This window comes from Homo sapiens, chromosome 8 (genome assembly GCF_000001405.40).
Source record: "Homo sapiens chromosome 8, GRCh38.p14 Primary Assembly".
In the NCBI taxonomy this organism is placed as follows: domain Eukaryota; kingdom Metazoa; phylum Chordata; class Mammalia; order Primates; family Hominidae; genus Homo; species Homo sapiens.
The window spans coordinates 98743095-98757559 of record NC_000008.11 but is presented as its reverse complement, the minus strand read 5'-3'; the positions used below and the strand labels follow the sequence as shown (position 1 = coordinate 98757559).

The 14465-nt window shown below is 37.4% G+C and overlaps 1 protein-coding gene across 21 annotated transcripts in view, besides 1 other annotated feature; it reads left to right on the top strand.

The window, feature by feature from the left end:
- Positions 1-14465, top strand: part of STK3 (serine/threonine kinase 3) — a 598636-nt gene that overhangs the window by 185051 nt on the left and 399120 nt on the right. For all 21 annotated transcript variants that reach the window (XR_007060753.1, XR_007060752.1, XR_007060754.1 and 18 more), the window contains one exon: positions 8170-8284. Coding sequence is in view for 17 of the 21 variants with exons in the window: in XM_047422133.1 (XP_047278089.1) it covers positions 8170-8284 (115 nt within the window). In the remaining 4 variants the exon portion in view is untranslated. The remainder of the gene's footprint in view (positions 1-8169; positions 8285-14465) is intronic.
- Positions 11621-11690: an enhancer, noted in NCBI's record as "active region_27680". NCBI's record gives its function as "activates an Ori minimal core promoter by ATAC-STARR-seq in GM12878 lymphoblastoid cells {active_cell/tissue: GM12878}" and the evidence as "EXISTENCE:reporter gene assay evidence [ECO:0000049][PMID:35858748]".

Below are 14465 nucleotides of genomic sequence, written 5' to 3'. Positions count from 1 at the left end.
GCAATGGCGCGACCTCGGCTCACTGCAACCTCTGCCTCCCGGGTTCAAGAGATTCTCCTGCCTCAGCCTCCTGAGTAGCTGGGATTACAGGTGCATGCCACCAGGCCCGGCTAATTTTTTATATCTTTAGTAGAGACAGGGTTTCACCATGTTGGTCAGGCTGGTCTCGAACTCCTGACCTGGTGAAACCCCATCTCTACTAAATACAAAAATTAGCCGGGCATGGTGGCGGGTGCCTGTAATCCCAGCTACTCAGGAGGCTGAGGCAGGCGAATCGCTTGAACCCGGGAGGCAGAGGTTGCAGTGAGCCGAGATCGCGCCAATGCACTCTAGCCTGGGCGACAGAGCGAGACTCTGTCTCAAAAAAAAAAAGTATGCTTTATTATTACTCACATATCATGAGGCCAACAGATCAAGAGACTATTGCTATGGAAAAGATATATTGTTATATATACAGCTCACAAGAGAAGGAGGCGTGCTGTGTCACAGGGGCTCCACGGGGAAGTACCAGAGTCAGTTAGGAGGCAGAGAAAGAGGGGGGAAGAAGTGGACAAGAATGTTTGTGTGGTTTCCCTGGGAAGGGACAGGTGAGATAGGGTAAACAGGTTTAGGATTGGCTACTTTGAGTATTTTGAGTGGGTTCTGGGGCATAGGGCTTTCTCTGGTTGTCTGGTACCTGGCCCTGGGGCAATTTGGGCAGGTGAAAAGTTGACCCTAGAGTGTAACCATAGAGGTGGTTGGAGGTTTGGGCTTTAGATAGGTTGGTGTGCATATGAAAGACATCCTTCCATGGGAGTTAGTTTGCTGTCTCTAGGAATTAGCTTACCCTGAGAGGGGCAGTCGCTTCAGTTTTAGCAAGGTCCCAGATACCAAAGCATCAAGAATACAGAAAATAAAAAGATATGCTTACTATAATCTCTGCATGGACTAACATTACTTTTTAATTGGTCTCTCTGTATTCACATTTGCTTCCCTACAATCTAGCTTTCATTCAGCAACCACAGAAACTTTACATCATGTTATTCGTCTGCTTAAAATTCTTCACTGATTTTTTTTTCTGTATTTCAAATAAAGCCCAGTCTCTTTACCTTGGTTTTGAGGCCCTTCATGGTCAGGCTTCTGCCTACATATGCAACTCCATTATGTTCTACTGTATCCTTTACTCACTTTATCCTGGGCCCGCTAATCTTTCAGTTCTTTGACCGTGATTTGTTCTGTCTTTCAGGGCCTTTGCAGGGCAGTTCTTAGTGCTTAGTTATCTGGCTAACTTCTCGTTAAGTTTTGCATCTTAGCTTAAATATTATTCCCTTGGAGAGTCCTAAATTAGGTCCTGTCTTAGTTTTTTGTGTGATTTATTTATTCGTTGGTTCTTTTCTTTCTTTCTTTATTTTTTAATTTTAATTTTTCTTTTTTTTTTTGAGGCGGAGCCTCACTCTTCTGCCAGGCAGGAGTGCAGTGGCACGATCTCGTCTCTCTGCAACCTCTGCCTCCCGGGTTCAAGCGATTCTCCTGCCCCAGCCTCCTGAGTAGCTGGGATTATAGGCCCCTGCCACCACGCCCAGCTAATTTTTTTTGTATTTTTAGTAGAGACAGGGTTTCACCATGTTGGCCAGGATGGTCTCGATCTCTTGACCTCATGATTCGCCTGCCTCGGCCTCCCAAAGTGCTGGGATTACAGGCATGAGCCACCGTGCCCGGCCTGCTTCTTTAGTTTGTATATAGGAGAAGAGAGCTACTGAGGATAAAATGGAAAGCGAGACAGATTGGTACCTATCTTTATGGAGCTTCTGTTCTTCTGGGGGAGGCAGATAAAAGTCAATGACAAAGTCCTTGCAGGATGTAATAAGTGCTTTACAGTATAAAAGGTGCTGACTTAGAAAGTGTCAGAGGATGGCCACTGTATACATATGAACTCTGGAGTTTAAGCATTTCTTTCTTTTCCAATCTGTGGATTTTGTAATTCACAGCAGTTCAGTGGAGAAAGGACATTTTATTGTTAAAGCTCACTTATCTGCTTTCAAAGGTTTTTCACATACTCCAGTGCCTTCCAAGTCTCAGAGGCTACCATGGAATATGAATGCATTCCATTCCTTCATATGAACTAGGAGCAATTTTATTTGCAGAAATGGTGAATACAAAATAAAGTCACAGCCAGTTTATCTTATAGCACCCTTTCTTCTTTTCTTGCCATGGTTAGTAATCATATTTATTTGTGAGTTTACTTCCTTAATTCCTGTATATTCATGCTAGTGTATTCGGTATGAGGGTCCAAATTGTGAATGTGTGTTTCACTAGTGCATACTGAACATCTGGTGAAATGCCTGGCCCGAGTAGAGGGTCAGTGAATGCATGTGGCTGTTTAGTTCTAGTTGCTTAAATACTTTGCTGGGTTAAAGTTAGTGAGGCCATGTTTTATGTTATAGAGGTGTTGGACTTGGATCCATCTACTTACGTGGGTGTTAGATGGGCCATGAATTATTTTTTTGAAGAGAATTTTACGTTTTGCCAAAGTTTTCTCTTGACTTACTCTTATGGAGAGATAGGGCTGTGTTTTCAGGTGGCTGCCCAGGTTAGAATTCCTAATTTTCATGAGTTGTCACTTCTACCCTTAGCATTGCTGATTAGTGTGTATGGCAAGAAAAATGTACATTTTTTTGTATGCTTTTCAGTGAACATAATCGTCAATTCATTGTTACTTAACACTTTTCAAAATTTTGAATGAGAACATTCATATTTAAAGAATTTTTTTTTGGCGGGCATGGTGGTTCACACCTATAGTCTCAGCACTTTTGGAAGCTGAGGCAGGCAGAACACATGAGGCCAGGAGTTCAAGACAAGCCTGGTCAACATGGCAAAACCCCATCTCTACCAAAACTACAAAAATTAGCTGGGCGTGGTGACACAGGCCTGTAATCCCAGCTACTTGGGAGGTTGAGGCACGAGAATCACTCGAACCCAGGAGGCAGACATTGCTGTGAGCCGACATGGTGCCACTGCACTCCAGCCTAGGTGGCAGAATGAGATTCTGCTTCAGAAAAAAAAAGAGAGAGAGAGAGAGTTTTTTTTTTTTCCCCTGAAGGATATACAGTCTATTCACTGGTAGAGTGAAGCTTAACTCTGGGTCTATGTCAGAGTCACCGGTAGAGCTTTTAAAAACCTACTGAATCAGAACCTCAAAGGAGTGTGGGCTTGGGTCACAGGTGGCTCTCATGCACAGCCAGGTGTAGGAACGCTACTCCCTATAAAAGTTTCCACATAGGCGCCATACCTTAAAGGAGTACATGTAAAGAATTTTTTTTTTTGTTTCTCATATGTTGCAGTTCTAAGTCTGTATTTAGTTTCATTTGTTTGTAAACAAGCACTTTTCTTAAATGGTTCAGTGAACATTTATGAACTCCAAATACATACTTTCAATTCCCAAGACCTAGCAAAGCTGAGTGTGTCTGGAAATTTAAGGTATGAGATGGAGAGTAATCAGAGATACGGGTAACAAGGTAGACTCTGAAATAACTTGTATGCGATATGAAGCAGTTAAGAGCTTTTCCTTTGGGTAATGGAGAGCTGTTAGAGTATTTTTGTTTAACTAGGAGAGCAGTATGATCAGCTTGTTTTACTTTTGTTTTAAAGTAAGGTACCTTGTCAACTGTATGTAGCATAGACTAGAACAGGGGAGAAAACTAAGACAAGGAGACCAGTGGGGAGCAAGTCTGTGCAAGAGGTAACGGAGTAGCAGTGGGGATAAAACAGGTTTGAATTCAGGCCCTTCAGCTCCAACCACTCTGTTCTACCTTTGACTTCAAGACATAGTTATTTTTTTTTGTATTTATTGCCTTTGTTTTTAATATAAAATTTAATTATAATGGGAAAATTTTAAACTTTTGTTTTTTAGATGACTGATGTTTTTATTATTTATTTATTTATTTATTTTTAACTTTTATTTTAAGTTCAGAGGTACATGTGCAGGTTTGTTACATGGGTAAACTTGTGTCATGGGGGTTTGTTGTGCAGATTATTTTATCACCCAGGTATTAAGCCTAGTACCCATTAGTTATTTTTCCTGATCCTCTCCCTCCTTCCACCTTCCACCTTCTGATAGGCCCCAGTGTGTGTTGTTCACTCTGTGTGTCCATGTGTCCTCATCATTTAGCTCCCAGTTATAAGTGAGAACATGCAGTATTTGGTTTTCTGTTCCTGTGTTAGTTTGCTAAGGACAATAGCCTCCAGCTCCATCCATGTCTCTGCAAAGGACATGACTTTGTTCTTTTTTGTGGCTGCATAGTATTCCATTGTGTATATGTACCACATTTTCATTATCCAGTCTATCATTGATGGGCATTTAGGTTGATGCCATGTCTTTGCTATTATGAAGAGTGCTAGTTACAAAGAACATAAGCATGCATGTGTCTTTATAATAGAACAATTTATATTCCTTTGGGTATATATCCAGTAATGAGATTGCTAGGTTGAATGGTATTTCTGTCTCTAGGTCTCTAGGTCTTTGAGGAATTGCCACACTATCTTCCACAATGGTTGAACTAATTTACACTCCCACCAACAGTATATAAGCATTCCTTTTTCTTCACAACCTTGCCAGCATCTGTTTTTTTTTTTTTGACTTTTTAATAATAGTCATTCTGACTGGTGTAACATGGTATCTCATTGTGGTTTTGATTTGCATTTCTGTAATGATCAGTGATGTTGAACTTTTTTTCATATTCTTGCTGGCCACATGTAGGTCTTCTTTTGAAAAGTATCTGTTCATGTCCTTTGCCCATTTTTTAATGGGGTTGTTTGTTTTTTTTTTCTTGTAGATCTGTTTAAGTTCCTTATAGCTGCTGGATATTAGACCTTTATTGGATGCATAGTTTGTTCAAAAATGTTCTTTCATTTTGTAAGTTATCTATTTACTCTCTTGATAGTTTCTTTTGCTGTACAGAAGCTCTTTGATTTTACTAGATCCCATTTGCCAATTTTTGCTTTTGTTGTGATTGCTTTGGGTGTCTTTGTCGTGAAATCTTTGCCTATGTCCTGGATGGTATTGCCTAGGTTGTCTTCCAGGGTTTTTATATTTTTGGGTTTTACATTTAGGCCTTTAATCCATCTTGAGTTAAATTTTTGAACATGATAATAAGGGAGGGGTCCAGTTTCAATCTTCCGCATATGGCTAGCTGGTTATCCCAGCACCATTTATTGAATGGGGAATCCTTTTTCCTTTCCATTGCCTGTTATTGTCAGGTTTGTCAAAGATCATATAGTTGTAGTTGTGTGGTCTTATTTCTGAGTTCTTTATTCTGTTTCATTTGTCTGTATGTCTTTTTTTGTATCATAACCATGCTGTTTTGGTTACTGTAGCCCTGTAGTGTATTTTGAAGTCGGGTAGTGTGATGCCACCAGCTTTGTTCTTTTTGCTTAGGATTGCCTTGGCTATTCGGGCTCTTTTTTGGTTCCATATGAATTTCAAAATAGTTTTTTCTAGTTCTGTGCCGAATCTCAAATAGTAGTTTTAGTAAGAATAGCATTGAATCTATAAATTACTTTGGGCAGTATGGCCATTTTAATGATGTGTGTTTGTGTGTGTGTGTTTATATATTATTTTTTTATTTTTTATTATTATTTTTTTGAGATGGAGTCTTGCTCTGTTGCCCAGGCTGGAGTGCAGTGACACAATCTCAGCTCACTGCAACCTCCGCCTCCTGAGTTCAAGTGATTTTCCTGCCTCACCCTCCTAAGTAACTGGGATTACAGGCATGCGCCACCATGCCCAGCTAATTTTGTATTTGTAGTAGAGATGGGGGTTTCACCGTGTTGGCCAGGCTGATCTGAAACTCCTGACCTCAAGTGATCCTCTCAAAGTGCTGGGTTTACAGGCGTGAGCCACAGTGCCCAGCCTCATTTTAATGATATTGATTATTTCTATCCCTGAGCATGGAATGTTTTCCCATTTCTTTATGTCATCTCTGATTTCTTTGAGCAGTGTTTTGTAGTTCTCTTTGTGGAGATCTTTCACCTCCCTAGTTTGCTGTCTTCCTATGTAGTTTATTCTTTTTGTGGCAGTTGTGAATGGGAGTTAGTTCCCGATTTGGCTCTCGGCTTGACTGTTGTTGGTATATAGGAATGCTAGGGATTTTTGCACATTGCTTTTGTATCCTGAGACTTTGCTGAAGTTGCTTATCAGCCTGAGAAGCTTTTGGGCTGAGGCTATGGGGTTTTCTAGATACAGGATCATGTCATCTGCAAACAGGGGTAGTTTGACTTCCTCTCTTCCTATTTGGATGACCTTTATTTCTTTCTCTTGCCTGATTGCCCTTGCCAGGACTTCCAATACTATGTTAAACAGGAATGGTGAGAGAGTCCATCCTTGTCTTAATGCCGCTTTTCAAGGGGAATGCTTCCAGCTTATGCCCATTCAGTATGATTGTTGGCTGTGGGTTTTTCATATATGGCTCTTATTATTTTGAGGTATGTTCCTTCAATACCTAGTTTGTTGAGAGTTTTTAACATGAATGGATGTCTGATTTTATCGAAAGCCTTTTCTGTATCTATTGAGATAATCATGTGGTTTTTGTCTTTAGTTCTGTTTATATGATGAATCACATTTATTGATTTGTATATGTTGAACCAATCTTGCATCCCAAAGAGAAAGCCTACTTGACTGTGGTGAGTTAGGTTTTTTATGTGCCACTGGATTTGGTTTGCTAATGTTTTGTTGACGACTTTTGCATCAATGTTCATCAAGGATATTGGCCTAAAGTTTTCTTTTTTTGTTGTATCTCTGCCAGGTTTTGGTATCAGAATGATGCTGGCTTCATAGGATGAGTTAGGGAGCATTTCCTTCTCCTCAATTTTTTGAAATAGTTTCAGCAGGGATGGTACCAGCTCTTCTTTGTACATCTGCTAGAATTTGGCCCTAAGTCCATCTGGTCCTGGGTGGTTTTTTTTTTTGGATGGTAGGCTGTTTATTACTGCCTCAGTGTTAGAGCATAGCTAAAATTTTAAAGGCTGTACTGAGAAGTCTTCCCTGACAGTCTTCTCTTAACCTCCACAATTGATAGAGTCTCTACGTGTTCTTTTATTGTACTTTCAATTTTTTTTTTTTTTGCTTATTTGTTTTTCTGTCATATTTATCTTACATTTGTGCCCAGCAAAATGGCTACTGTTTTTGATTGTAGCTATTACTAGATAGAAGTATTTATTTGAACAAGTTGTCCTCTTACATGCCATACTTGGTTTTTCCCTTTCTATTTGTGTACCTTTATTCATGGTCTTTCTCTTTTCTAGAATTTTCTTATCCCTCTTCTCCATCTACATTTTGGAGTTTAAACTTTTCTTTCAAAATCTCATTCAAATCCCACTCCCTTCCACAAAGTTCTCTTTGGATGATTCCAATGTTATTTCCTCATTTGAGCTCTTGTAGCATTAAAGTTGTGTCCTATTTAGTTTCTGCTGTCTTGTATTTTCTATCTCTATGCATTTTTTGAATATGATATTCTGCCTCTTTGAGATAGGTTAGATTTCTCATACATCACTATATGTAGTTTATCCATAATATACATTATTGCTGATGGTCATTTGTCCCTTTCTAAATCTTCCTGAAGACAGCTTGGCTATAAACATAGTTTATTCTGCTCTGGAAGACGTAAGACCTCAGTTTAGAAATTAAATTGCTAATATTTTAATTCTATAAATTTAAGCAGAAAAATTTATAATTTTTTTTCTCTAGAATTTTCAAAAGCCAGAATGAAAGAAAATTTAAAATAACTTTTTGGCCTCATGGAAATATAGATTATTTTCGAGTTGATTAATATTTGACTGAATGCAAAATCCTTTAGAAGACATATTTAAAATGCTTTAGTTAAAGGGAAAAATTTTCATTTGTTCCTCATGTTAAGTAGTAAGTTCTTTGCCAAAATGAAGTCTTATTTTCTTCAGAATCACTCAAAACATTTGGGCCTCTTCTGGTTTGTAATCCTGTTAAATTTCGTCCATGAAGTAAAGCCTAATTATGCATAGTTGGTGAACTCCAGATATTGAGAATTTGATGTGCAATAGAAATTTACTTATTTAACTTATTGGAACAGTATGAAATGTTGAAAATACTTTGTATTGGGATTAAGAAAAAAATTTCTTTGGGAATTAACTAAATTTAATTGTTTATGTATTTTCCTTTAGCCCATATGTTGTAAAGTACTATGGCAGTTATTTTAAGAATACAGACCTCTGGATTGTTATGGAGTACTGTGGCGCTGGCTCTGTCTCAGACATAATTAGATTACGAAACAAGACAGTAAGTATTTTAAAATTGTTTTGCTAATATCATTTCTAAAGATTGATATTTTAGAATCTGACTAGTTGGTATTTTGTTACACAGAAAATAATAGCATGAAAAAAGAAAAGGTTTTAAGTGGTGTAAAGATATCTAGTAGGAGGTGTGAGAACCAGCCACATATCTTTCTGTAACAAATTTAGGAATTACATGATTGTTTAATTTATTTATTAGGATAATTTTTGGTGTGTCACAGAGAAACTACCATGGTACTTCTCTTCTTCATTTGGAATCAGCGTGTGTGTGTGTTGTTTAATAATGTGAGTTTCATAAATTATGGCTAGAATTTTATTTAAAGTTTATAATATTCATGGTATTTACGTATCTTAAATTTTATGTATTATAATTTATGGCTGGAATATTTGAAGAAATTATATACTTCTGAATTAAAAAAAAACATTTTTGTATTTATTTTCCCAAATATTGTCAGGATGTGTGAAAGTGATAGAAATATATATATTTCTATAAATTTAGCTTAGTGAAATGTATTGTTTAATAAAAGCTTTTTATGGTTATGTTTTAACTCTAACTAGAAGTGCTATTTACAAAATTGTTTACTTTAAGCTAGTAATACATCTAGTTTATTTGGACAATTTGTATGGACCAAAGTGACCTTTTTTTCTTGAATAGGAAGAGTAATCAGTGAAATAATTTGTAATTCTGTAGCAGTAACATTATTATATGTTGTCAGCCATGTTTCAGTAAAATACATTCAGAAAAAATACTTCAGTCAATTTGTAGTTAACCAGAATCATTTTAAAGTTTGATTTGGGAAGTACACTGTAAGTTTATTTTACTAATTTTTTTTCCCTGTTAGAGAAAAGAAAGTAAATAGGATTTCTTTTAAGGGAAGTGAAACAGAAGTTGAAATAATCCCTGTTTTGACAGAGTAGATTAAGTGATCTGTGACATTCTGCTAATGATATATTTTAGAATTTCTATGGTGCTTAACTAGCATTTATGTAAATCAGATGATTCTTGAGTGGCAGAAAAATGCTTCAGTGGAAAGTAATTATATCCCAGTTAGAGAATTGTTTTAAACTCATTTCAGGGCTAAACTCAGTGCATTTGGTATTTAAAGTTATCAGGTAGGAATATGAAGTAGTGTGTGAAATGGAAAATTTTAAACATCTCTATTTTCTTAGTTTTAAGTGTTAATGTTACAATTTTGAGTAGATATGAAGTATTTGATCCAAGAAGTTTAATGCTTGTTGCCAATAATTACAACTGTGAAGACATACTATAGTTCTTAAAGATAGGTATGGATCAGATCATTATCTTCAGAAAACTCTTTGTCAGTTATCAAAGGAAAGATTTTATCCATTCATATTCTTTGTTATAAGACACAGTCCACTGAGCATGTTGGGGAGTTGTACACTTGGAATAACATAGTTGTTACGCTCACACAACAGGTACCCTGGGTTCTGGGATGGCATGGTAAGAGTCTAATTTCCATATATGAAAAGGAACCCAGAGCTGCACAAGAGATTGATCAGGAGCTGTAGGTATATTGTTTCTGAGTGTTGCCTTGATGACAGCTCCTATTAAGTCTCAAGAATATTTGTATCTTTCTTTTCTAGTGCAAGGACATTTTTCTTCATTTATTTATTATCCAAAAAGAGTACCATTATTGTTAAGGTTAATAATATAAAGATACGTAACATCCTATTTAAAAAATATCTGGATGTTGTAGGCCTTTGTTCACTAGAGTGTTAACTCTTGATTGTCTGAATTTCAGAAGCATGACTATTACTGACTGACTGGCTTTCAAAAATTTGACGAGTCTAACAGTCGTCTTTGATTAAACAGGTGTAAAACTCACTCTAGTAATTGTTTTCATGGTCATGAAACAATCTTTTCCTAAGAATATGGCAATTTGTTTTTAAGAGCTTGTATGGTCTGTTGTTTTTTTTGTGATCTGCTTTGTTTCTTTAAATTCTGTATACATTTTAAATAGCACATGGAATTCTTGTTATTTTATATTGTTATTCTTATTTTGTATTGCAAATGTTTATATTTACTCATATATTTATGCTTTTTATTGTTCTTTATTTCTTTCTGTGTTTCTCAGTTGTCTGAAGAATATCTGTTAGTATTTCCTTATGTGTGGTGGGTATGATGATAATGTCTTTTTTTTTTTTTTTTTTGGTGAAAATGTTGTTATTTTACTTCATGTTTTCTTTTTTCCTTTTTCTGAGACAGGTTCTCGCTCTTTTGCCCAGGCTAGAATGCAGTGGTGTGATCACAGTTCACTGCAACCTTGAATTCCTGGGCTCAAGCGATCCTCCAGCCTTAGCCTCCTGAGTAACTAGGACTTCAGGAGCATGCCATCATGCCTGGCTAATTAAAACAATTTTATTTTGTAGAGATGGGGTCTGGCTATATTGCCCAGGCTGGTCTTCAACTCCTGGTCTCAAGCAATTCTCCTGCCTTGGCTTCCCATAGTGCTGGGATTACTGATGTGAGCCACCATGTCTGACCCTCACTTCACTTCTGAACAGTATATTTGCTGGGTAAAGAATTCTAGGTTAGTGATTCCTTTTAGCCTTTTAAAGATATTATCCAGAAATCTTGTATTTTATATCCAAGAACATAATTTATTTTTATTTTTTATTTTTATTTTTGAGACAGGGTCTTGCTCTGTCACTCAGGCTGTAGTGCAGTGGTGTGATCATGGCTCACTATAGCCCCGGCCTCCTGGGCTCAAGTGATCTTCCCACTTCAGCCTCCTGAGTAGCTGGAACCACAGTCGTGTGGTACCATGCCTGGCTAATTTTTTTGATTTTTTGAAGAGATAGGGTCTCACTTCGCTGCCTAGGCTCATATCCTAGAACATATTAATTATAGTCTAATTCTGTCTGCTAATCTTTTAAATGTTAATCTCCTGTGGGTCTCTTTCTATTTTATATTGTTTCTCTTGTTTTTTATTGTTTTTGTCTGTGCCTTGTGATCTTTGATAGAGTGCTAGACATTGCGTAAAACGTGATAGAGGTTATTTGAACTTCTGAATGTTGACGTATTTTACTTAAGGTTTTTGTTTCTATCTGGTGGCTAGAACTAGCAATCCTGGATCACTTAATTCAATTGGGGTTAGAGATAATTTGAATCTGGGCTTCAGTACAGTTATGTGCTACATAATGATGTTTCTATCAATGATGGACTGCATGTAGAATTGTGGTCCCATAAGATTATAGTATCGTATTTTTACTGTACTTTTTCTATGTTTAGATGTGTTTAGATACACGAATACTTACCATTGTGTTGCTGCTGCCTACAGCATTCTGTACGGTAACATGCTACACAGGTTTGTAGCCTAGGAGCAATAGGCTATACCATCTAGGTTTGTGTAAACACACTCTGTGATGTTCACACAATGATGAAGTTGCCTAATGATGTCTTTCAGAATGTATCCATGTTGTCAGGTGACACATGACTGTACTTTTGAGGGTTGATCCTCCTTTACATCTAGGATATGGTCCTTTGGCATTATAGGGCTTCTCAGTTTCTCGGTAGGTTTTGATTTCCAGTCTTTGACCTTCTCATCTTGTAAGTCAGTCAAAAGGTCTGCTCTGCTTATTAGCCTCTTGGCCTCTGTTCCATAATTGATAGATGCCTCTTGGGGAAAAGCAGCCCTTATTGCTAGGCTTACCTCTTCTTTTTTCTTTTTTTAATATTTTGTTTTCAGACAAAATACACTGCTCGTGTGTCTTCATTAGCCTTAACATAGACTTTTAAATGTATTTTCTCCAGACATTTTAGTTCTTTAAGCAGGAGAGTGGTCTGAATTATCTAGTTTATCACTACCAGAAGTGGAACTCTTTCAAATAGTACAAGTTTTGTTATTAGCAGTTCTGTTCTGCTATGAGCAAACATATGCAAAGCTACCCCCAAAGGCTAAGGGAGCTGAGAGCTGAAGAAAGACACTGACAAATCCAGTTTCTTATAAAAAAACATTTATTACAGACTAACAAACAGAAATAATGTTTTGGGTGGCCAAGAGGTGGTGTATTCCCACATCCACCCTCCCGAAAATATCCTTTATATAGCAAGCTTTTTTGGTAAAACATATGCAGCTGGTTACACCTCAGACTTTGTTGCTACTCATGACCACTGGAGAGGTTAGATAAACATCTTTATGAGGGGTTGTCTATGCTACAGGCATTGTTTAAAGACCTTGCTGCTGGAGCCAAACTCCTGTCATTATGGTGGTTTTGCTTTGAAATGGTGTCACTCTTATCTTGCAATAGGCTGGCTTTTTACCTACATCTTTAATCTAGCTGGAGTTTATTTCTGTATATGATAGGAGATAGGGGTATACAGCACTTTTTTTTTTTTCTGTGTGGAAATCTAATTGTCCTAACACAATTTTCTATCCCTTTTTAACTGGCTTATAAGCCTGTCCTACTAAAGTTATGTATATATTTGTCTCTATATTTGGTCTGTCTGTTCTAGCAGAGATTTATTTGCCTGCTTCTGCAACAGAAATATGTTTTTTTTAATTATTATTATACTTTAAGTTTTAGGGTACATGTGCACAATGTGCAGGTTAGTTACATATGTATACATGTGCCATGCTGGTGTGCTGTACCCATTAACTCGTCATTTAGCATTAGGTATATCTCCTAATGCTATCCCTCCCCCCACCCCCCACCCCACAACAGTCCCCAGAGTGCGATGTTCCCCTTCCTGTGTCCATGTGTTCTCATTGTTCAGTTCCCACCTATGAGTGAGAATATGCAGCGTTTGGTTTTTTGGTTCTTGTGATACTTTACTGAGAATGATGATTTCCAATTTCATCCATGTCCCTACAAAGGACATGAACTCATTATTTTTTGTGGCTGCATAGTATTCCATGGTATATATGTGCCACATTTTCTTAATCCAGTCTATCATTGTTGGACATTTGGGTTGGTTCCAAGTCTTTGCTACTGTGAATAGTGCTGCAATAAAGATACGTGTGCATGTGTCTTTATAGCAGCATGATTTATAGTCCTTTGGGTATATACCCAGTAATGAGATGGCTGGGTCAAATGGTATTTCTAGTTCTAGATCCCTGAGGAATCGCCACACTGCCTTCCACAATGGTTGAACTAGTTTACATTCCCATCAACAGTGTAAAAGTGTTCCTATTTCTCCACATCCTCTCCAGCACCTGTTGTTTCCTGACTTTTTAATGATTGCCATTCTAACTGGTGTGAGATGGTATCTCATTGTGGTTTTGATTTGCATTTCTCTGATGGCCAGTGATGGTGAGCATTTTCTCATGTGTTTTTTGGCTGCATAAATGTCTTCTTTTGAGAAGTGTCTGTTCATGTCCTTCGCCCACTTTTGATGGGGTTGTTTTTTTCTTGTAAATTTGTTTGAGTTCATTGTAGATTCTGGATATTAGCCCTTTGTCAGATGAGTAGGTTGCGAAAATTTTCTCCCATTTTGTAGGTTGCCTGTTCACTCTGATGGTAGTTTCTTTTGCTGTGCAGAAGTTCTTTAGTTTAATTAGATCCCATTTGTCAATTTTGGCTTTTGTTGCCATTGCTTTTGGTGTTTTAGACATGAAGTCCTTGCCCATGCCTATGTCCTGAATGGTAATGCCTAGGTTTTCTTCTAGGGTTGTTATGGTTTTAGGTCTAACGTTTAAGTCTTTAATCCATCTTGAATTAATTTTTGTATAAAGTGTAAGGAAGGGATCCAGTTTCAGCTTTCTACATGTCGCTAGCCAGTTTTCCCAGCACCATTTATTAAATAGGGAATCCTTTCCCCATTGCTTGTTTTTCTCAGGTTTGTCAAAGATCAGATAGTTGTAGATATGAAGCATTATTTCTGAGGGCTCTGTTCTGTTCCATTGATCTATATCTCTGTTTTGGTACCAGTACCATGCTGTTTTGGTTACTGTAGCCTTGTAGTATAGTTTGAAGTCAGGTAGTATGATGCCTCCAGCTTTGTTCTTTTGGCTTAGGATTGACTTGGCGATGCGGGCTCTTTTTTTTTTTTTTCCATATGAACTTTAAAGTACTTTTGTCCAATTCTGTGAAGAAAGTCATTGGTAGCTTGATGGGGATGGCATTGAATCTATAAAATACCTTGGGCAGTATGGCCATTTTCACGATATTGATTCTTCCTACCCATGAGCATGGAATGTTCTTCC